This window comes from Homo sapiens, chromosome 7 (genome assembly GCF_000001405.40).
Source record: "Homo sapiens chromosome 7, GRCh38.p14 Primary Assembly".
NCBI classification, from domain to species: Eukaryota; Metazoa; Chordata; class Mammalia; order Primates; family Hominidae; genus Homo; species Homo sapiens.
This window is the reverse complement of record NC_000007.14, coordinates 17,100,811-17,126,206: the sequence shown is the minus strand read 5'-3', so window position 1 is coordinate 17,126,206 and position 25,396 is coordinate 17,100,811. Positions and strand designations below refer to the sequence as shown.

General features: G+C 35.9%; 1 long non-coding RNA gene across 1 annotated transcript in view; it reads right to left on the bottom strand.

Moving 5' to 3' along the window:
* LOC107986772 (uncharacterized) overlaps nt 1–25,396 on the bottom strand; it is a 129,008-nt gene that overhangs the window by 102,605 nt on the left and 1,007 nt on the right. The gene's annotated exons all lie outside the window — the stretch shown is intronic.

Below are 25,396 nucleotides of genomic sequence, written 5' to 3'. Positions count from 1 at the left end.
TAAATTATATGATAGCTCACATATAGCTTCCTGCCAACATACATTTGTTACAGACTCACTTAGCAAGCATCTCTTAAGCACCTAGTACATACTAGGCACTGTTCTTGACTGACACTAGAGATCCTGACTGAGGCAAAAGGCATGGTCCCAGCCGTTTAGAAACGTCTAGCTGGTGAGGAAGCCAGGTAACAAGAAAAGAAATGAGTATTATATCGTCTGCTAGGGAGGACAAAAGAAGAAAGTATTTTACAGATTGTGGAAGCAGAGAACTCAAATTAGAGACTTTTAATGAGAATTATTTGACTGTCCAATCAAAGCAGTTGCTCTACTTTGTGACTAGAATAAACACTGCAAAACCCCTGAGTTCAGCAGAAAAACAACTGATTTTTAATCTATTGATTCTTGTCAGCTACAAGAATAACTGCCATGTCGCTATACTTCACATTCAGGTGTTTATTTTTCTATGTCCTTTTATAGCATTATGAGTATCTGCATATCCTATTTTTTGATTGCCACTCCTGGACAGAACTTCTTCAGTTAGAAGGCAGGTATATCAGAATTGGAAGCAGGGAGAAATAGGTTCTTATACTGACTCTGCCCATGACTAAACGTGTTTGTCTTTGAGGCTCACCAGGGCTTTAGGTTTCTCCTTGTACAATGATTCACAAAATTTCTTCCTTTTCCAGCTTGAACATATACTTCTTATAATATTCTGATTGAAATTATTTCTCCTTGGGATATTTCTCTTTAATGGAGTTTGTTTGACACTGTTATGTTAATTACATGGCTGTAGACATAGAAGCAGTAGTTGTACTGGTTTGGGGTGTGGGCTCTGGCGTCAGATTGACTGGGTTCAAACCCTGCATAATACTCTTTAGCAGTGTGAGATAGTGTAAACCTCTCTATGCCTCACTTCCTATAAAATGGAAATGAGAATGGAATCACCTGTTCGGTTGATATGAAAATTAAATGAGTTAATTCAGGGAGCCCAAACCTTCTTTATTCATGGTGCCCTTAGTGTCTCTGTAATTCTTTTCACTGTCTGTGTCCCTAGGCTCCATGAAATACCTAATTGTTTTGTTTATTATGTCCAATCAACTAATAAGTAGTTATGTCTCAACAACTTACAGTAGTAGTCTCATGAAAATACAATACACATAAATTAAAAGGAAAAATAGTATTTTTATTTCATTCTTAAATAAACATCATTACTTACTCATGAGAGGTATGTGTCCACATTTGTCTCTGCTCCATGATATCTGAGGCCTCAGCTGGAAGGACTTAAAGGCTGGGAGTGGGAATCACCTGGATGCATGCTAGCTGTTGGCAGGATCCTCAGCTGGAGCTGTTGGTCACATAATCTACATATGGCCTGGGCTTACCAGATGGCGGCCTCAAACATCTTACATCATGGCTCAGAGCCCCAAAGCAGAGTATCCAAAGAGAACGAGATGGAAACTTTCATTTCTCATTACCTACCCTCAAAAATCAGACGAATTCTTTTAACCATCGACACATCATATTTCTCCTTGGGATATTTCTCTTCAATAGAATTTGACACAGTCATGTTATTTACATAGTTATAGACATAAATTAAAGGGGAAAATATTGAGTGGACCCCATCTCTCAATGGAAGGCATATCAAAAAACATATAGGATGGAAATATTGTGGCCATTTTTGGAAAAAAGTTCTGCCACATCTCTTCTGCCTTCTTCTTTGCTTCTTCTCTCTTTTCCATCTATATTATATTCTGTGAAACTATATGCATTGGGGTCTCTGTATAAATTTTGTGTGTCATGTGTTTTATATATATGACACAGATATATGACATATATCTGCATTCATAACTTTCTAACTCATGCTGTTTATTATTATTTTCATGCACAAATTATTTCATCAGTCTTTGCCACCACATACTATTATGTCAGACACGTTTCCCAAAATAGCTCTGTTCTTGAAGGGTAAAAAAGTAAAACAAGCATTTACTTTTAATATACCTGCAGGCCTTCACCTGTTGCACTATACATGGTTTCTTTCATGTTTGGCCTCCTTACTTCTATAGCAGGTTCTTGTCTTGCTAGAAAGGGCTAGAAATAATTAACGTTTGTTTTATCATTATTTTCCTAGAAATTATTATTTTGATAGATAATAATCATAATTTTGGTAGAAAACACCCTTCATGACTTACGCTTTATGCGTTTCTCATTTGTAGTAAACGCATGTATGTTTTCCTGAATTACTCTATATTGCTCTAGATAATCTTAGAATTTTCTTTTTTATTTTATTTTACTTAATTTTTTGGCACACTGTCTTCTGAAATGAATTACTTTAGCATATTTAAACATAAACTGAGAGAGTCCTGGTTGGTTTTTGTTTTTGTTTTCTAAAACAAATTTGCTTTTCTATAGGGGTTTCCCCAGGAGTTGTGGTATATTTCAAATGCCCTAGATAACCTTAGGGATTGTCCAACCTCACAAGTAGGCTTGATACTCAGAAATCAGAATTTTAAATTGTGTGTGCAATCTTTTTTCTTGCTTTCCTATATCATCCGGAATGTTCAGGGATTTTTTAGATATTTAATTTTAGAAACTACTTTTGGTCTAATTAAAGGAATATTATCTCTTTTCTCACTTCTTTACGTGCCTGAATCTATTATATAGTATTTCCTCATATATGTCATCTTGAGCATCCTATACTTTAAAAAATATTTACGTAAGCACTATTGTGGAAATAGTAAACACATAAAGAGGAGGAAAGAAAAGGAGGTAAGTAAATGGTAAAAGTGTTTGAAGCAAAGATTAACCGAATGATTTTGGCTCTGTGAATTGAGCCACAGAGTTTCTCTTATTTCTCCTCACACATTCCATTCCAGCCATACACACTCATCAGCATTTCCCAAACTCCGTGGCCCTTCATACCTCTCTATTGCTAAACATGCAGGATATGATGTCGGGAATGACCTTCCCCTTTTTTCTGCTGAAATCTTACTTTCAGCTCAAATGTTATTTTCTATTTCTCAAATTACAGTTCCTGTTTCGAGTGTGTGGTTCTTTTCATGTCCTTTTAAATTGCCATTTACATGTCTATGTCTCCCACTAAGTTCCACAGGGACTGGGCTCATGTTTTACCCATTTCTGTAACCTTAGTGCCAGACAAATCTTTGTTCAATTCATGTATAATTAATGACTAAATTTATGCCTTTGAATAAGTTACTTAGTCTATCGGTGCTTTCTGCTTTGTAAAATGGAACTAATAATAGTACCTAACTTAAGGGAGGGTTTTGAGAATTACATAAAATAATTCATACAGAACATAATGCCTGACACATAATTCATGTTCAGTAAATATTTAGTTGTTGTTATGTACATATTTTTTAATACTGCATTTAAACACCAAAATTCTACAATTATTAATAGTGGTCATGAAAAAGGGTGTTTCATTGTCTTTGTTTTTGGATAAAAGGCCATTTGTCAGATGGCTGAAATACCAGTGTTAAATAAATAGATGAGTTTGCCACCACAGTGAAATTTCTCTCTATAGAAATGCCGCATGAAGGGTCTTCTCTGACTGTAATAGAAAAGCCAGTCTACAATTTGATGTCGTGAGGTGCTTACAGGGAAGAAATATTCCAAACAACTGCTAATTCCTGGCCAACAGTGTAAGCTCTATCTGATTTTGGGATATCATACATCTTTCTCTGAAGCTGTTTATCAATTCTCTTTCATCATATAAATTATCATATATATATTATGATTTAATTTTTTTCATATGAGAAAATTCGGAGTAGATTAATTCACCAACATAAGACAGATGCAAATTTTAGCCATTGGTTGAAAGCAGCAAATTTCACTGTCTATGGAGTTTTATGTATTTTCTAAAAAATAGATGTGTTTAGATAAATATTAAATGCCATATCACACATACCATACAGAGACTTTTTATATTGAAATATTCATTATCTTGACAGTAATAATATTCCATAAGTCTTATTTTGTTACATAAATATCTCATATTCCATCTTTCTTTTTATTTCAGTACAGCTCACCAAGAACAGTATAAACAAAGGTATTTCTTAGATTTATTTATTTTGGAAGATTCCAGTGAGGAAACATATTTTACTATATATTTATATAACTCTTAGCATTAGTTACCAGACTTTCCAAAATGAACACTTTTATTGAAAGCATACTTCTGACCAACTTCATTTAAAAAATAGAATTTGAAAGGTTTGGCTTTCTAGGGTCTTGCAACCTACATGATCACTCACTTCTTACATTATGCAGGCAAATTATTTTGTAACTCAGGTATTATTTTAACAACTGTAGCAAATTAACCAACTGCAATCTATTTATGTTCAGTAAATTTTTGCCAAACCATTCTATTTAAACATAGAGATTTCTTAATAACATGCCAGGAGATACAATGAGTCAAAAGAGGGCAGGGAAAGTGAGTACTCATTACTATAAAGTTTTCTAATTTGTAGCCTTCGCCAAAATTCTTCATTATGGAGACCATACTATTTAGTAGAATGGGTAACAGGAGGGAAAAGAACAGGGTTGTTTTCATTAGTGAAGATAGGTTAGTACAGCTTATGCTATACTTACACAGATTCCAAATCTTAATGGCTTAACTCAGAAAAACAGTATTTCTCATTTCTCTTATTTATGCAACATCCACTGTGGGTCTGAGAAACTCGAGAGAAACTCTTTCACGCAATGAAGACTGCTCAACCATTGGTTCCACCATATGTCCACAGGATTTCTCCATACTTGCTACAGCAAGGGCATGAGAGCACAAGGGAATCTCATATGAGCAATTAAACATTTCAATCTAGAAATGACACTGGTAATTAAATGCTTCATCCCATAAGTCATTTCCACTCACAGCTCAGTGGCTGTTTTCCATTTGCCTAGAAGGATAGGAGCCCCAGACATTGATAAAAATGTTAGAAATGTCTATCATGGGATTCTGCACAGAACATAACACAGTGTTTTCCCCACAATTGTCACTGCATATTGAATTAACTACAATTTCTATTATCTAAATAATTTAGTCTTAATCAGAGTTTTGCACATGTAGCTGGGGTTATGGTTTTGCCACTACTGGAATTCAGACGTTTCGGCAGCCTAAAGCTTTGATGGCACAGACCTACCAAAAGTCCATTTGCAGGAGAGATTGAGAGACCAGTGAGGAGGGGGTGCACCCAAAGGGAGCAGAAAGTTGAGAAGATCATAGTGTTTCAATAACAAAGCATTAGTCACTGGAGAAAGGGAAGTCTGAGTAGCATTTGGTAGGGTAGTGCTCTAAGTAGCAAGTGAAAGAGTACCTATACTATTAACTCTCAAAAGCATTGGGGTACATTCTTCCCTGCCTTTGAGCATTCATTTAACAAATACAATGCAACACAATACAAGGAGCACTCTCCCAGGCTTTGACCCTGAATAGAACTTGACACCCGGAAAGCTGCAGAATCAGCAGCAGGAGCTGATGTTTCCTGGTAATAAATAAAAGGTGGTATCCAATAGAAATGGCCATAGTGCCAAGAAGTAGTGCCAATAACCAGGAGATTTAGTGGTGTTCAGAAGATCAGGATCAATTTGAAAGCAATACTGCCTGACAAAAACAGAATAAATAGCCCAGAAGATGGGGATGGTGATACAACAGCATGACACAGAGTAGCATCAAAGCAGAAGCGTGGACAAAAATGTATAATCACTCTAGGGTAACTGAGCAGATTTTTTGGTAATGCCTTGCTCAGATCCACCTTAGCAGGCAAGTTCACCCATGTTGAGCATGCTCATAGTTCCCAGCTGGTCCCTCCTTAGAGAATTGCCTTCATCCAAATGGGAGTTCTCTTGCCCAGGAGATTGGCACCCTCCCCTCGAGACAGCCTGTAGTTAATAACTGGCTAATCTGGGGGTATAAACGACTGCATTTTCCTCAAGGTGGGATCAACTCGGTGTGACTGACACTCCTGATCCTGTGGGATCAGGCTGAAGCCACCTTCTAACTGAGACCAGTATCCTTGCTTAGCTTCATCTACAGTATTATCCCATTCTCTCTTCATTTCTCATGGACCTGAAGCCCTAACACAGTCTTTGATTCTAGAGAAATCACCAGAAACACTGAGGAAATGTGAACAGTCTACGGAAGACAGAATAAGGACACTAGCTTCCTAAAAGAGGTTGCATATGCATGGAGATCTGCAGAATGAAGAAAGTCTTCCCTTTCTCCAACCCTTTGCTCTCATAACTGGTTAGCTTGGGAAGCTCACCACTCTCCTCAATTACTGCAAATCTTACCCATCCTGTTAGACCTACCTCAGAGCCACCAGCTTTGATGGAATCTTTCCAGATCACTCTCATCCACAGTGACATTCTCTGAATTTTGATACTGTTCATTGTGTCATTAATTCAGAAATTGTCCCTTCAACTTTTTGAACATTTTAACATTTCAACAGCTCTTCCAAGTAGTTTATTTGTCTAACATTAGGCATTTAGTATGCCAGACACTGGGCTAAGTATTAGGGAAACAATGACAAATAAGACAGGGCACTACCTTCCATGAGCTATCCTTAATGGAGAATACAGATATGTAAGCCCATTAGAATACCTTAAAGTATATACCACAGTATGAGAATTGGAAATAGTTTCACAAAGACAATATTTTAACTGTGTTGGAAAGGATGGTTAGAAGTTAAGGAACAAAGTATTTTAGGTAAAAATATTTTAAAATTACACTCAAGGAACTGAGATTGATCCATTGGTTACTCAGTGAACGTGTTGTAAGCAGGAAGAAGAAAAGAGAAGAGGAGTAGAGAAAGGAAAGTAAGATTCTAACTGTAGAAGAACTATGCCATGCTAAGTGAGACATTTGCCTTCTACCTAGTAAGGAATATGGAGCCAGTAAGTGTTAGTTGTGCCAGGGTGATGACTGCAGGTATCATATTATAATCCATATTTCACAAGCTTTACTTACCACCCATGATTTCAGAATAAGATAACCTTTATTGGAGGAAACTATATTTTATATACATAAAATGTATAGAGCACATTATTAAATATTATTTATGCATGTTCCACTTAGCTTAAGAAATATTTCAATAGTTATCATCCCTTTTATTTTCCTTATAATTTTGCTACATGTAATGCATACAAATACAATCAACTGAATGTGTTCTGCCTTTTGCTTCCTTTAATGAATATCATGTTTGTGAAATGGACTCGTTGATATATGAAGCTCAAATGCGTTCACATTAGCCTAGAAGGGTAGGAGCCCCAGACATTGTTGAAACTACTAGAAATGTCTATCATGGGATTCTGCACAGAAACTGACAGTGTTTCCCCATAATAGTCACTCCATATTTAATTAACTCCAGTTAATACTACCCAAACATAAACTTAATTGATAAAGTAGCAGCAGGATTTGAGAGGACTGACTCAAACTTTGAAAGTTCTACTATGGGTAAAATGCTATCAGATAGATAGCGTTGCATGCTATAGAGAAATCTTTTGTTCGAGGAGGAATCCATTGATGCAGCAAACTTCACTGTCGTCTTATTTTAAGAAATTGCCACAGCCACCCTAACCTTCAGCAACCACACCCTGATCAAACAGCAACCATCAACATCAAACAAGACCTTTTACCAAAAAAAAAAAGATTATGAGTCACTGAAGGCTCAGATGATCATTAGTATTTTTTAACAATAAGGTATTTTTAAATTAAAATATGTACAGTTTTTAGACATAATGTTTAAATGCTTAATGGACCACAGTTTAGAGTAAACATAATTTTTTATGCATTGGGAACCCCCCCAAATTTGTGTGACTTGTTTCATTGCCATATTTGCTTTATTTCAGTGATCTGGAGCCAAATCCACAGTATCTCTGAGATATGCCTGTATATTTAAATATTATTTTTCTCATTTAACTCTTCATGTATTTTAAATTTATTTTTTATATGATGGAATTATGTACTCTATTTTCTCTCTATGTGGGGTTCATGTAGATTACTAAATAATAGATCTTTTTCTTCTTTTGGAAACAACTGAGACAAAGAAGCAATAGCAAGCAAATGGAATTCAAAATATCACCTTTATTACTAAAACAGCCTGATTGGAGATTACAATTTTAGATCTAAAACCTAATAGCTTCCTAGGAATTGACTCCTAAATTGGACATACTTGTTCACCCAGGCACTGGCACAAGTGGAACCCTATTAGCCTTCCACATCATTGGCAGATCCATGTGGATGAAAGTAGGTAAGAAACTTTCCTTTCAATAGGCAGACACAACTGAACACAGTCAGGAGAAAGGTGCTAGCAGAGCATGCTCAACAAGTTATTTCAAACTCGCTAAACAAAATAATCCCTTCTCCTTTCAAGATGTGGAGTCAATAAAGAGTAACCTAGGCAATACCACTCAGGACATAGGCATGGGCAAAGACTTCATGACGAAAACACCAAAAGCAATTGCAGCAAAAGCTAAAATTGTCAAATGGGATCTAGTTAAACTAAAGAGCTTCTGCACAACAAAAGAAACTATCATCACCAGAGTGAACAGGCAACCTGCAGAATGGGAGAAAATATTTGCAATCTACCCATCTGACAAAGGTCTAATATCCAGAATTTACAAGGAACTTGAACATATTTACAAGAAAAAGACAAACAACCCCATCAAAAAGTGGGTGAAGGATATGAGCAGACACTTCTAAAAGAAGACATTTACATGGCCAGCAAGCATATGAAAAAAAGCTCAATATCACTGATCATCAGAGAAATGCAAATCAAAACCACAGTGAGATACCATCTCATGCCAGTCAGAATGGCAATTATTAAAAAGTCAGGAAACAATATATGCTGGCGAGGCTGTGGAGAAATAGGAACGCTTTTACACTGTTGGTGGGAATGTAAATTAGTTCAACCATTGTGGAAGACAGTATGGCGATTCCTCAAGGATCTAGAACCAGAATTACCACTTGATCCAGCAATCCCATAACTGAGTATATACCCAAAGGATTATAAACCATTCTACTATAAAGAAACATGCACACATATGTTTATTGCAGCACTATTTACAATAGCAAAGACACGGAACCAACCCAATGATAGACTGGATAAAGAAGTGTGGCATATATACACCATGGAATTCTAAGCAGCCATAAAAAGGAATAAGATCATGTCCTTTGCAGGGACATGAATGAAGCTGGAAGCCATCATCCTCAGCAAACTAACACAGGAACAGAAAACCAAACCCCGCATGCTCTCTCATAAGTGGAGGTTGAACATTCAAAACACATGGACACAGAGAGGGGAACACACACACCAGGGCCTGTTGAGGGGTGGAGGGTGAGGGGAGGGAACTTAGAGGATGGGTCAATAGGTACAGCATACCACCATGACACTTGTATACCTATGTAACAAACCTGCACATCTGCATATGTATCCCATTTTTTTTAGAAGAAATAAATAAAAAAATAAAAGAAAAACGAGTGAGAGATGAGTTATTTCAGCTGAAAGTCTTCATGGGGGTACATAAGAAATGAAAGATAAGAGTCTTCCCTCCCTAATATTTAAAAAAACAATGAATACATGAATAGTAAAGCCACGCCAAAATGGGAGAGAGAGGTAGTCATGCTAGGGCATGTACAAAATTATAAAGCTAAAAAGAAATTAGATGAAAAAACAGAGATAAGCCTTTTCAGGGTGGAATCTGTAAACTCGTGTTTGAATTTCCAGTTCTAGTTAGTTCTGCTGTGACCTGCTGCTACTTTATTTCTCATTTTTGGATGACTCAGTTTGCCTATTGTGTCCTTACAACAACTCAATTTGTGTTTCCCTTCCTAGAGTAAACTAATGTTTCCTGCAACTGTCTAATCCATAATTAGATTAACTGCAGTTTCTGTCAATTGTGTTCTAGTTTAAAATATAAACAAAGTATCATAATATAAAAATACTTAAAATAATGTAAATATAAAGAAGACACAATAAGTAACATATAAAAATGGCAGAACTCACTCCTAGATGGGAATGGCAATATAATAACAGAATCTTCTAGACTGTAGTTTTTCAAATTTTCCACAGAATGAGAAGTTTGGATTCCCTTTTGTGGATAAACTACATGTTTAATTAAAGAAAAATACTTTAATGGAACTGTTGGTTATGCAAAGATAAAGAATAGCTTTTATTTTGGAGTGATATTCTGAGAAAATGAGTAAAAACTAGGTAAGGTAAAATTATCCAACTAAAATGTATTCTTGGAGGAAAATCTTGTTAAAGACTTCATAGACATGTAGGATAGTAGCTTGGATTATTGCTACTTGGGCATTAAGAAAAAAGTGTGTCTGATTTGTGAAGCCTGGAGAAGTTGTAGAAATTCCTGTTATCCAAAGTGTAAGAACACAACAGTCTGTTTTATCTACACATTACCAGACAGTAATGCCTGGAAAACTTCTGAGGTATTACCTGCATGAGCATGTCTACCATAACAATAGGAAGAATAAGTAGATTTTTTCAATTTTACTTCTTAAAAGACTTAAAATGTCAAAAACATCAAGAGTTAAGATATCAAAAATAATTCAATATATGTTAAAATATGGAGCAAAATACTTGACCCAGTGACTGTCAAGCTCACGAGTAAGCTGCTGTATAAAAATGTATTTGATAATAAGTTAACACATCACAAAAAGTGGATTTATTCTAGGAATGCAAGTGTGTTTTAACATTGAAAAATAAATGGATGTTGATATGCACTGGCAGAAGAAAAGAGAAAAGTTATGTGATATAAGAAAAGAAAACATTTCATATGATTCTGTGTCAATTTACCATGAAAACTCGTAGCAAACTAGGTATGGAATGGAACTTTCTTAGATAAAGAGTGTTCAAGAAATTCTTACAGCAAACTTCATGCTTCATGGTAAAATACTGAAAAACTTCCAATGAAATTAGTTATTACTTACCTGCTATAACTATGTTTATTACTTTAATAGAAAGACTAGCCAATACAAAAAGGTATTTTAAAAAAGCAAAAGTCAACACCTGTAAAAATGATTTAAAAAAGAAAGAAGAAAAGAAAAAACTACTTTAAATTTCATCTGGTACCAAAAAAAGAGCCTGCGTAGCCAAGACAATCCTACATAAAAAGAACAAAGCTGGAGGCATCATGCTACATGACTTCAAACTATCCTACAAGGCTGCAGTAACCAAAACAGCAGGGTACTGGTACCAAAACAGATATATAGACCAATGGAACAGAACAGAGACCTCAGAAATAACACCATACATCTACAACCAACCGATCTTTGACAAACCTGACAAAAACAAGTTATGGGGAGAGGATTCCCTATTTTATAAATGGTGCTGGGAAAACTGGCTAGCCATATACAGAAAACAGAAACTGGACCCCTTCCCTACACCTTATACAAAAATTAACTCAAGATGGATTAAAGACTTAGTGTAAAACTCAAAACCATGAAAACCTAGGCAATACCATTCAGAACATAGGCATAGGCAAACACTTCATGACTAAAATGCCAAAAGCAATTGCAACAAAAACCAAAATTGACAAATGGGATCTAATCAAACCAAAGAGCTTCTGCAAAGCAAAAGAAACTATCATCGTAGTGAACAGGCAATCTAAAGAATGGGAGAAAATGTTTGCAAGCCATCCAACAAAGGTCTAATATCCAGAATCTACAAGGAACTTAAACAAATTTATAAGAACGAAACCACCCCATCAAAAAGTGGGCAAAGGATATGAGCAGACACTTCTCCAAAGAAGACATTTATGTGGCCAACAAACATATGAAAAAAAGCTCATCATCACTGGTCATTAGAGAAATGCAAATCAAAACCACATTGAGATACCATCGCATGCCAGTCAGAATGGCGATTATTAAAACGTCAGGAAACAACAGATGCTGGTGAGGCTGTGGAGAAACAGGAATGCTTTTCCACTGTTGGTGGGAGTGTAAATTAGTTCAACCATTGTGGAAGACATTATGGCAATTCCTCAAGGATCTAGAATCAGAAATACCATTTGACCCAGCAATCCCATTACTGGGTATATACCTAAAGGATTATAAATCATTCTACTATAAAGACACATGCACATGTATGTTTATTGCAGCCCTAATTACAATAGCAAAGACTTAGAACCAATGCCCATCAATGATAGACTGCATAAAGAAAATGTGGCACATATACATCATGGAATACTATGCAGGCATAAAAAAGGATGAGTTCATATCCTTTGCAGGGACATGGATGAAGCTGGAAGCCATCATCCTCAGCAAACTAACACAGGAACAGAAAACCAAACACTGCGTGTTCTCACTCATGAGTGAGACTGAACAATGAGAACACATGGACACAGCAAAGAGAACATCACACACCAGGCCTGTCGGGGGTTGGGGGCTAAGGGAGGGAGAGCATTAGGACAAATACCTAATGCATGCAGGACTTAAAACCTAGACGACGGGTTGATAGGTGCAGCAAGCCACTATGGCACATATATACCTATGTAACAAACTTGCATGTTCTGCACACATACCCCAGAACTTAAATTAAAATTTAAATAAGTAAACCACAAAAAAGCAAAAGGATTGAAAAGGAAGATATAAAATTTTAACTATTTTCAGATAACTTGGGAGCATACATGAAAATAGTGACAAAAAGACAACTAATACACACTCAAGCCATTAGAATTAACTGAATTGAGGTTAAGATCTCTAGATATAAGGTCACTGTTTGGGATCAATTGCATTTTATGTTCCAAGAAAAGCAAAAAATAAAAACTTTTAAATGAAACCAATTGAAAAACACCTAAAACAATTTAGCTAGAAATAAATCTAGCAAAAAATATGTCATTAGAAAGCATTACTGAGAGAAATAAAAGAGGATGTAAATAGGCGTAGGAATACACCATGTTCATTAATTGCTAAACTCAATGTTGTAAAAATATAAGTTTTTTTCAAGTTGATCAAATCATGCAACATATATTTCAGCACTTTTGTTGCAAGTTAAGAGATTGATTCTAAAATATATATAAAAATGAAAAGGGCCAATAATAGCCAGGACAAACTGGAAGAAGAAAATAAATCTGGAGAAATTGTACTATCAGTATGCTAGACTTACTGTAAAGCTATGGGAATTAAGATGGTTTAGTTCAGGAGGAAGGACCGGCAAAGAGAACAGAGGGGCAGAGTTGAAAATCCAGAAACAAATTCATTTATGTATGTATATATGTCATATATGATATATAGATATATATGTATATCTATATATCATATAGATCTATATGATATAGATATATATCTATATATCATATCGATCTATATGATATAGATACATATAGCACATATCATATATGATATATATGATATAGATACATATAGCATATATTATATATGATATAGATACATATAGCATATATTATATATGATATATATGATATGTATAGATATATGTATCTATATCATATATTTCATATATTGATATATATTTATATATCGCATATAGCTATATATAACAGGTTCAATCATTTTATGACAAAGTGATACTATGGTGCAGCTGGGAAAAAAGTCTTTTACAGAAAAGATGGACTTTTCAATAGGCATGCCGGATCATCCAAATATCTATGTAAAAAATAAATTTTGATCCCTGCCTCACAACATACAAACCAGTCAATTCCAGATGGATTATAGATCTAAATGTGAAATATAAAACACTAAAGCTTTTCTAGGGAAACATAGGAGAATATCTTTATGAACTTGAGGTAGGAAAGGAGTTAGCACTCTGTATCTCTAGATTCTTTATTCATGGATTCAACCAACTGCATACTAAAAAGTTTTTTTAAAAAAATTGTTTCTGGTCTGAATATGAACAGACTATTTTTCTTGTCATTATTCCCTAAACAATACAGTATAACAACTATTTACATAGCATTTATATTGTATTCAGTATTATAAGTAATCTACAGATGATTTAAAGTATATGGCAGGATATGCATAAGATATATGCAAACACTATGCAATTTTATATCGGGGACTTGAGCATTTGCAATTTTCGGTATCTTCAGGAGGTCCTAGAACCCATCACCCATGAATTCTGAAGGATAAATGCATTTCATAAATAGCATTTGTGAACCCTGAATATCTAAGACAGGTCTCAGTTAATTTATGAATTTTATTTTGCCAAGGTTGAGGAGACATGCCTGTGACACAACCTCAGGAGGTTCTGATGACATGTGCCTGAGATGATAGGGGCACAGCTTGGTTTTATACATTTTAGGGAGACATGAGACCTCAATCAATTTGTAGGATGTCCATTAGTTCAGTCCAGAAAGGGGGCACCACTTGAGGTGAAGGTGGGACAACTCGAAGTGGGGAGGAGGCTTCCAAGTCACAATGGTTGCATTCTTTTGAGTTTCTGATTAGCCTGTCCAAATAAAGCAATCAGATATGCATTTATCTCAGTGAGCAGGCGGGTGACTTTGATAGAATGGGAGACAGGTTTTACCTAAGCAGTTCCCAGCTTGACTTTTCTCTTTAGCTTAGTGATTTGGGGGCCCCAAGATTTATTTTCCTTTCACATTCCCCACTCGATACCTTTTTTAAAAAAATCTTTGGGAGAAAGCATTTTAGGAGAAAATGAGTCTATGGTCTCAGGTTTCATCTGATCTCTCATGGCTAGAATGGTTTATTCCTAGACAGGTAGGTCCTGAGTTATTAGGAAAGTCCATTTTTAGCAGGTTGTGAAGTCTCATGTCCTATGAAGAGAAAATAGGAGGAGAAAAGGAGAAAAACAACAAGAAACAAAAGAACGATTCTGGAAAATTGAGATAGGCCACATTACTCTGAAGTCCATACATCAGTAGGCAGGTATGAAAGGGGCTTATGTAAGTAAATAGTTTGCTGTTACTTTCTTCTGAAGTTTAAGTTGTCTAGCTTCAGTTGCAGGGCTTTATGAAAGCACAGCTTAGTTTTCAGTGACTCCAAATTAGGAAATATCAGGAGAAAAAGAAGGAAAAAAATTGAAAACATTATTTTGAAGACTTGTAGCCAAGAAAAATTAGAGTTTGCTCCAATCTGTAGAAAATAAAAAAAATTGAAAAACGTTAGGCAAGACTAGAATCTAACAACAGGTGTACTATGGTTTTTGAAACATATTTTTTCTCTCTCCAGTTTCCCATTTTTATTAAAGACAAATCATGGTTGGACTGATTTGCTTTCTTATACTTGGCCTGATTATTTGTATACAGTGTGGCAAGAATAATGATTTTTTTACATTGGCTTTTAAATTGGCTTTGATGGAACTTTATTCCATAGAAGGAATCTCAGGTAAGACTTTTTTAAAGCCGAGCCCAGCCATGGATTTGTACCGTCAAATACCTATGAGTTGGGGAATTCCTCTCCATGTGAGGTTCCAAGATAAACTTGGGTCTCCTGGGCCTGTTAGAAAGTGACAATCTTTTCTTACCACAGGTCAGGAATGATGTGTAAGGACTGTGTAGACAAGGCATGAGGCCAGTTTTCCCAAGGGGCTTTTATTTGCTGTATAAGTCAATTGATTCCTTAAAGAAAAGCACACCATCCCAGTCAAAGCCTTAGTAAAATAATCAGTTTCTCCAATTGTGTCCTGTTATAAATGAGAACAAATTCTTATTGTACTTATGCAAATAACTGTTTTGCCATAAGTTAAGAATAATCCCAGTTTCCAAATTCTCAAGAAATCAGGTAGAAAGAAACAAATATGTTCTAAATTTTGCTCATAGGAGTATACAAATTTGTTAAAAGCTGTCAATAGCTCAAAAGAAAAGTTTCCTTGACTCTGAAAAAAAGTGAAACAAAGGATCAGCAATGTTTTAAGCAAAAAGTCAAAAAGATTACTCAATCTTTATTAGTTCAGTCCATGTAATTAATTCCTGTTCTGCTTGATATTCATGAACATTTCAGTTCTCCATGAGCCCAGAAAGTTTTTCTTCTATTCTGATGTCACAGTCTCCAAAGTTATCAGAAACTTGTGTTCAAGAGCACCAACAGGTGCTCTTGAGTTTTATGCTGATTATAAAACTACCTTCTAAAGTGGATCAAAACAAGACAATAATTGTCATGGATGACAAAAAGTTTTAGAGCAGCCAGAGTCAAAGACACAATTGATAAGGAAATTTGTTACCTCTGTGGCATGCAATAATTTAACATAACAATTATAATTATTACTGATAATGTACAATACATCATATCAGAATTATACAATTTTCCCATAATTTTGGAACACATATCAATAATATATTTATACAAATCAGCCCAAAGAAAACCAAACACCAGTTCATATTTGACAAGGCCTGCCATATAATTTTTATACCAAATAAGCCAAATTATGTCAGTTCTGGACTTCAGGGAACCTAATATCTTAAAGGATTAATTAGGTAAGAAAAAGATATAATTTATAATTTGATTTTGGAAAGTTCATCAAATATCAAAGGCTTAAAACACTTGGTATCACACTTCATTGTAAAATAAGTAATTCATTTGACCAAAGTGATAAAGTCAAGGATTTTTTTAAAAGGTGAAAAGCTTCATTCTTTGAGAGAAGAGACTTAGTTTTCCAAACAATAAGCCCCAATAAAAACAGCATGAAGCCAATTAAATTGGTTTTTCAAAATTTTATAATTTATAAAATTCCAATTTTGACCATAAAATATAAGTTCCAGAAGCCTTTTATAACCTTCATAACCTTTATTAGATGTCAGTTAATGCTTCAAGAAAACCTTCTTAAGCTGACAAAGGGGTCCATATGCTGGTCTTGCATCAGTGTGCCCTTGACATTAATAATTAAATTATAGAGAAACTGAACTTACTTTATCTCTCAAAATCGGCCCCTACAACCTCACACACCTACCTCTTCTGCAATAGTTCCTGAGTCTTGAGGAGTTGAATAGCTTTAATTTCTTGCCTTGTGCCTCAGGAATGCAGTTTATTTTTATTGGCATCTTCTACTAGGCCCGAAGATGATTAAAACTTACATAAGCAAACATCATTCTGCCTTGGGCTGGGTTTATAGTTTTGTGATCCTTATGTCACATTTTGACACCTTATAGTATTTGGCAGGGATAAGTATGAAATTGCTTGATTAATAAATGCAAACAAAAATCTATGCTGGCAATTCTTAAGACATTTCTAACATTACTTTACCAATAATTGTAAAATTTACATCATAAGGTATGGAGAGAAAAATTCTGCTGTGGTAAGGGGAAGTTAAAATGGATTTAATTACCAATTAAACATAAAATTATAGAAATTTTATAAAAGCCTTTTAAACACACACACACACACACACACACACACACACACACACACACACACACACACAAAGATCCTATAGCTTTTATTTCAGAACTTTAGCCATGAGGTAAATACAAATTCACTAGCTTGCAAACAAAAAACCTGTTGGATCCAAACAGTGGTTTTTATCTTAATAGAAAAATAACAGCAGATTTAAAGCATACAGAAAAGAAAATAGAGAAAAAAGAGAACTTAGGAACTCTATAGTTTGGAGACTGACCTTAGGGATCTTTTTCTTTAATGTAAATGTGTTCGAAGACCATATTACTTTCGTTTTACATAAACTCTGGCAAGTAGACGTGACATAAAACCTATGGAGTGCTCTAAAGGGGGTCATTCTCCTTGTTTTCTCCTCAATACTTAGATTATTTGTTTCCACTTTTTTTCTTAAAAGGAAGAACTGAGCTGTGACCTAGGGTTTTTATATGGTGGACTGATGTGTGCTGCTTGTGGGCAAGTCATTTCCACCCTCTTACGTGTCTCAGTTTCTCTCTCCAGAAATCTATGACCTATGAGAGGGCTCAAAACACTGGGTGATCATCCCTTATATGCTTTTCCTGGATGAGCCTTTTTAAAAATGAATTTTGTTGGGGATTTCCCTGCAGGGCCACTGGGGATCAACCTCCCAGACACTCCTACAGGGCCCCCAGTCACCCAAGGGCACCTTTCAGCTGAGAAGAGCAAATGCCCTTTTTCTTCAGAGCTGTGAAAATGCAGTCTCACATTTACCTATGAAAACAACAGTTCAGTTTCTCATGCAAATGCACATAGACAAGACTAATTGAGATTAATGTTGGGAGAAAAAGCAATAGAGAAGACCCCTTAGGATGCATCTCCAAACTAGAATTAAGATCCTTAAACAACTTCCAAGGAGAAAAAAAATAAATAACAACAGCCAAGACCACTCCCTGTAAACTGCTCAGCCATCCCTAACTTTGTAGCTCCCTTTTACCATTACACACGCCAAGGTCAAATCCTCTCCCAATACAAGGTAATCTCTGGTACCCAAGCCAAAGAGATCAGGTCATGCAATACAGGAAAACAGAGCTTTAGACCTAAGAAGATTCTGCCCATGACTCTTGAAACTACACAAAGAAAACAAAATACCCCAAAACAGGTGAGTGGCACCTTTGCTCTGATTTCTTGAAAGGGGTTCAAGTCATTAGAAGTCTTCTCTAGATGTTTTTGGCACTGCAGATGGCAAAATAGGAAGGAGGTATAGGGTGGAAGAAAAGTAAATAAAAGAACATTTGTTTTTTTGTTTGTTTATTAAGATAGGAAGCAAACACGGAAAACAAGCACATGGTTTTTTGGTTTTCGGTTTTTTCCCTCTTTTGCAGATGTGAGGAATTTTAGCCAAATTAGAGAGGTTTTGTTACCCACAATTTGGAATTCTCATTTGGATTTGACCAAGTCAGGTAGAGTTTGTCAAATCTGATGGAATAAAGATGGAACCACCATCAACACCAAATAACTCAACAATATGATCACTGAGTGCTATAACGGTAAGGAGAAATTAAGACAACCAGTTGTTAAACTTTAGCAAAGACAAAACCCCAATTCATCTACTTAACTAGGAATGGGTCTCAGGCTGAAGACAGCTTTTTACCATCCTAGAAGCAGGGAAAAAAAAAAAAAAAAAAAAAAAACCTCAAACATCTCGAACTTGTCTTCCCTGACAGGAGTGAGTTCACACTCCATAAAGGAGTTACCTGCCTTCCATCATCATGGAAGCAGGAAATCTTGCCTTCCTTGTTGGAAGCAAGTAAAACTCCAGAAAAGGAGAGTTGTACAGCAAAATAAACTTTAGATCTTGACCAAATTTTTGGAGGTCAGGGATTCTCTGAAGGGGGTGTTCCTAGACCTGAGCAAATTATCCTATTGGTTTGAGCCATAAAGTTAGCTCATGCTGGTACCAAGCACTGGTAGCAGATTTGTCAAAGATCAGGGGCATCTCCATTCAGAATCCCTTCATGGTTGCCAAAATGTGAACCCTGAATATCTAAGACAGGTCCCAGTTAATTTAGAAAGTTTATTTTGCCAAGGTTGAGAACTTGCTCCTATGACACCGCCTCAGGAGGTCCCGACAACATGTGCCCAAGGTGGTAGGGGCACAGCTTGGTTTTATACATTTTAGGGAGACATGAGACCTCAATCAGTATGTGTAAGATGTCCATTGGTTCAGTTCGGAAAGGTGGGACAACTCGAGGCAACGGTGGGACAACTCAAAATGGGGAGGGGCCTTCCACGTCATAGGTAGATAAGAGACATACTGCATTCTTTTGAGTTTCTGATGAGCCTCTCCAAATGAGGCAATCAGATATGCGTTTATCTCAGTGAGCAGAGGGGTGACTTTGAATAGAAAGGGAGGCAGGTTTACCCTAAGCAGTTCCCAGCTTGACTTTTCCCTTTAGCTTAGTGATTTGGGGGCCCCAGGATTTATTTTCCTTTCACACATTCTAAAAGGGTTAAATAAAAGAGAATGATTAATTGGACTATGCTAAAATGATACTATAATTTCTGTTCTTCAAAAGACACTGCGATGGTTAATATTAGGTGTCAACTTGATTGGATTGAAGGATGCCTGGATAGCTGTTAAAGTATTGTTTCTGGGTGAGTTTGTGAGGGTGTTGCCAGAAGAGATTAACATTTGAGTTGGGGGATTGGGAGAGGAAGTCCCACTCTCAGTGTGGGTGGCCACCATCCAATCAGCTGCCAACTTGGCTAGAAGAAAGCAGGTGGAAGAAGGTGGGATAAGCTGGTTTGCTGAGTTTTCTGGCTTTCATCTTTCTCCCATGCTGGATGCTTCCTGCCCTTGAACATCAGACTTTAGGTTCTTCAGCCTTTGGACTCTTGGACTTACAGCAGTAGTTTTCTGGGGGCTCTTGGGCCTTTGGGCACAGGATGGAGGCTGCACTGTTGGCTTCCTATCTCCTCAGCTTGCAGACAGCCTATCATGAGACCTCACATTGTGATCCTGTGAGTCAATTCTCCTTAATAAACTCCCTTTCAGATAAACAATATCCTATTAGTTCTGACCCTCTGGAGAACCCTGACTATTCATACACCATTAAGAAACTAAACTATATAGTGCATATAAAGTTTTTTTAATAAATGCATTGTGAAAGAATGTATAAAGAAGATAAAAATAACTCCTACAAATCAATAAGAAAAATGTAAACAACATAATAGGTGGGCAAAAGACTAGAAAAGGCAATTCACAAAAAAAACTATCTAAATAGCCCCAAAATATATACAAAGGTGTGTTAGTAGTCATCATGATAGGCAATACCAAATGTTGGAGAGGATATTAATCAAATGGAACTCCTATTGTTAGCAGAAATTACTAAAGCTTCTAGCTAAAGACACATATCCGATGATCCCACAATTTCATTCTTAGAAATGTATTCGACAGGACACCTGTGTTTACCAAAAGACAATGACAACATTCATGTCTGCAATAGAATAATAGCTCGAAACTGGAAATATCCAAATGTCTATAATAGTAGAATGGACATAAAAATTATGGTATACTGACACAATACATTACTGCTTAGCAATGAGAATAAATGAACAATAACTACAGTTAAAAACATGGATGGATCCCATACACATACTTGAAGTGAAAGAATCAGATACAAAACAGTACTTATAGGAAGATTTTACTCAATTAAAAAAATTCAGAACAGTAATTTATCCTTGGGTATTAATTATTGGAAGCGGGAGAAAGGAGTTTTCTGGATTCAGATAATAGTCTGTTTCTTCATCTGGTTGCTTGTGCCACACAGATGTCATTTTGTGAAGTAAACAGAACAAGCTGTACACATAGGATTTGTATATTTTCTGTATTTATTCTACATGCCAATAATAAGCTAACTTAAAGGTATTTTCCAAGGATCTATATTCAAGTGATTTTATATACTGATATTCGTAGTGATTCACAGTTGAACATTTCTTTTGGAAACTCCTTTGGAAATATCCCAACTTTCAGTGAGGAACAGAAACAATGCTGTTGGCATTATTTTGGGCTAAGTATACCACAGTAAAAATAAAATGCCAATCCACATGTGAATTCAATGTAACTGAGTGGTAACAAACTGTATGCACTGATGAAATTCAAGAGTATTGTTTCTTATCTGAAGGTCTCAACGTTGGTTTTTAGTTTACCATTTTCTAAGTGGAAATTGACTAGTGCACATTCATGTCCTGCAGCATACTCAGCACTATGATTTATAACAACGAGATGCCCCTGTGGAGAGACCATCATTTACCAATACAGCTCCCCTGAGAGCCTCATGTTTCTCCCTAGACCTTTCCCCTTGGATGATTTTTTTAATGCCTACTAATGTATTTCCTTATAAACTTAGAATTTACATAAATATGCTTTATTCTTTCCTTTAATTTTATTGGCATATTTATTATCTGGAGCGACATATAAGAAGCTTAAAAGTACAACTAGTTCTCCTTTAATTTAACATAAATAGAAATGGTATAATGAGCTTTTGGCCAATATTCTCTTAATGAAAGGGAGCCATCAACGATCTTGTTGATTATACCTGAGGTAGAGTTCCCATTTTAAAATGGACTGAACCTTTCAGTGGATAGAAAATACCACATTAAGGAGGGTAAATTATGGTTGGAGCACCCTACTCGTCTAGGGAGCTGTCCAACCTGACTTTATTTCAGGCACACTGTGATTAAGTATAGCTCATTCAGAACTAGCAAGAATGTTCTCTAGAAAAACGAAGTTTTCCCCTTGCATGTCATTACTTGGCTTCAAGTTAAATACACATTGTAGTTTTTGGCATTTTGTAACACGGTTATGAAATACGTAAATTACAAGATAATATTTATAAAAATATTTCAGTATTTATTTTATTTAAAAGTTTCCAAAATTGCAATACCTCTTTTCTACACATTTTGTGTATAATTGATTAGTAGAAGGCCACTGAAAGTCTTTTTTAATAATAATTATGGGTTGGATTCACTTTAAATTTTTTATGGTAAATTTGAAGCTATCATAAAATATTTCCTTGGCTTTTTGTGCTTTGAGACCTGTTCTTAAAGATGTACCTGCTAAAAATTTCCCTGGTGTACTTCAGTATAAAGTAGACAACAATGAAATAACTCTTTTGCATCTGTCTATTTTAACAAATCATAAGGGCAATTTTTTTTCTCTATAATGCTAAAGCACTAGCGTATAAAATATTTTGTTAGTTTTAAAGAACTACATGTACAAATGGAACCAATTTTGCCTTTTTATATTTAGGCACAGCATTGGTACAATTACATAAACACAGGACAGATCTACTCAGTCGAGGAGTTTGCTATATAGCTATTTATTTGTTTCTTTACTCATTCATTCGAGGCCTGGCAGTGTTTTCTATACAGATGTTAAAAATGAGGAAACTACAACTTACATCCTCAGTGGGAGATAGACGTGGGAACAATCAAGGACAGTGCATTAACACAAGGCTGTGGAGGTGCAAAGATCAAGTGCATGACAGAAGGAGAGGAGCAGCGACCTGACCTCTGGGGTATCAAGAAAACTTCTCACAGGGTGTTCTCAGTGTAACCCTAGGTCAGCAACATCTCAGTCTTTTCTGGGGCTTGGGTTTCCCTCAGTATCCTTCTTGCAATGATGGGCTCTGGGCTGGCACTGGAACAACCTATTTATTAAACCCTCCAGCCTCTACCCACATTTGCATCAGAAATTCCAGGGGGCCTCAAAGCAGATTAATTTGCAGGTAAATTTACTCTTGTGGGAAATTGCATCAGGAGTTAAATGGAGTTACAGAGCCAGAAATCAATGAAGTATTTTTCTTATATTACAATTGAGGGCAATGGAGTGTATAAAATTATACCTTTTCTTTAACAACTTTTGTCTGCTGTAACATAGAAAAAAAAATCCTTTGATCTGATTCAAAAGTAAACATCACCTTTAGATCCCATAATCCCACTAGCAGGTGGTTCTCAAGATTTCCATCCCTGAGTAATCATAGAGGAGTTATAGAGCTGAACCTAGGTTAGAACATTAGCCTTCACAATATATTTCCCCATTAAAATTACTAGTGAGCTATTACATTTAGAAGGACACAAACAGTAAAGAAACAATTCTACATATTACATATGTAGAAATACATAATTCCCATTCAGTGATTACTTTTTGATACACAAAATGGTCTAGGCATATACCTCATTTTATCTTACCCACGTGGTAAGAACTATCCAGTCTTACAGTTGGAAATTGAGGTTCAAAGAGGTTACATAATTTCCCATACTCACAAATATAGCAAACGGCAGTTCTGGAATTTGAAATGAGTTCTGTTTGGCTATAGATAATACATGCTCTTCCTAAGTAGTGACTATACTGTACAGTCTAAGACAGGTTTCTTTTACTGAGATCAACAGACTACTAGTGTCAGAATCACCTGGGCCCCTTGATAAAATGCAGATTCCTGATCTCCACCCAGACTAACTGTAATTTTAATAAATCGCTCAACTGATTCTTATCCAAAGTAAAATTTGAGACCACAGGGCCAAACACATTTTTTTTATAGTTGCTCAATACATTTAAATTTACCTCATTATATTTATTTAGATGACTGACAACTTGACCTTCCTCTCTTCTTTTTAGTGCAAGGAATACAAATAAAAAGATCCCAAAATAGCAAACCACTCAGCAATCATTACTTTCATTGTGATTCTTAGATATATGAGCAAAAATGTAGCAGAAGTTTTCCTCAAAAATATTAAAAATATTATTGAAAAAAACCAAGTTGGGCAACCTAAGGAACATAGATTGTCTTCTTGGACATTTGCCAGTTATATTTGGAACAATGTTGACTTTTTTTTAACTTGTATTTTTGGTTCAGAGGTACATGTGCAGGTTAGTTATATAGGTAAATTGTGTGTTACAGGAGTTTGGTATACAGATTATTTAACTACCTATTGAGAGCGGCAGGAGGCAGCCACATGGCTAGGCAGATAGGGGTGGGTCCCCAAGAAAACCCCACCTCCAAGCCAAAGGCAGTATTAAAGCCTGAAAGCCAAGCTACCAGTTAAATCCTCAGAATGGATTGAGAACCTGTCTTTTCATTTGGTGCACTTTCCTCTTATTGGTCCCCACCCTTCACCTATTTTACATATAACTATCATTTCCTAATTGGTTTTCTACACTGTTGTGCCCACCTTTGAGTGATGCCTTTGCTTTAACGTGTTTTGCCTACTCACAAACCAATCAGCATGCGCTACCCATTCTGAGTGCATAAGAGGACCCAGACCCAGCCACAGGGAAGGGACTTTTCTGCCTTTGGGTAAGGGAACTATCTTCCGCATCGCTGCTTTGCTGTGAGCTTTCCTCTCACTTAATACATTCTACTCCACTCATTCTCTGGTGTCCGTGTGCCTAATTCTTCCTGGTTGTGAGACAAGAACTCAGACCTAGCTGAGCTAAGGAGTAGAAAGATTGCGACATTATAAGGCAATGGGTGACAAAATAATCAATGATGACTTTTAATGGAACTTGGCATGGGGTTAAGCCTGGATATATCTCTTATATGAGAATATATATACCACTACCTAAATTTAAAACACATCCTTGTATGTGATTGTCACTTTCTGGGCAGTCTAACTCCCTTAAAGCACTAGAACAGAACCTAATGTATTCCAGAATGTGGGCCTAGAAGCCTTGGATGATCTGAGGTACTCCGAAGCAAGTTATGATAGGTCCAGATGACTATGGCCAGCCAAGCAAAATTCCAGTGGAATTTTGATTGAAAGAAAACTAATTTAAGGGCAGTTAATTGGACCCATGAATTTGAAGAGATTCATGGGCAAATAAATGAGGAAGCCCACTTACTCATAAAATATTTATTGAGCAAGTTTTATGTGCCTGGCACTGTGTTAAATGCTAAGAATTTAACATGCTAACGTTAAATTGAAAATTATGAACAGATTAAAAAGTCCTCAAGTAGTTCAGACACTGCACTGGAGACACTAAAGAAATGTGTGGCATTGGTTCTTTTTTTACAAATTTTATTAGGAGATTACTGA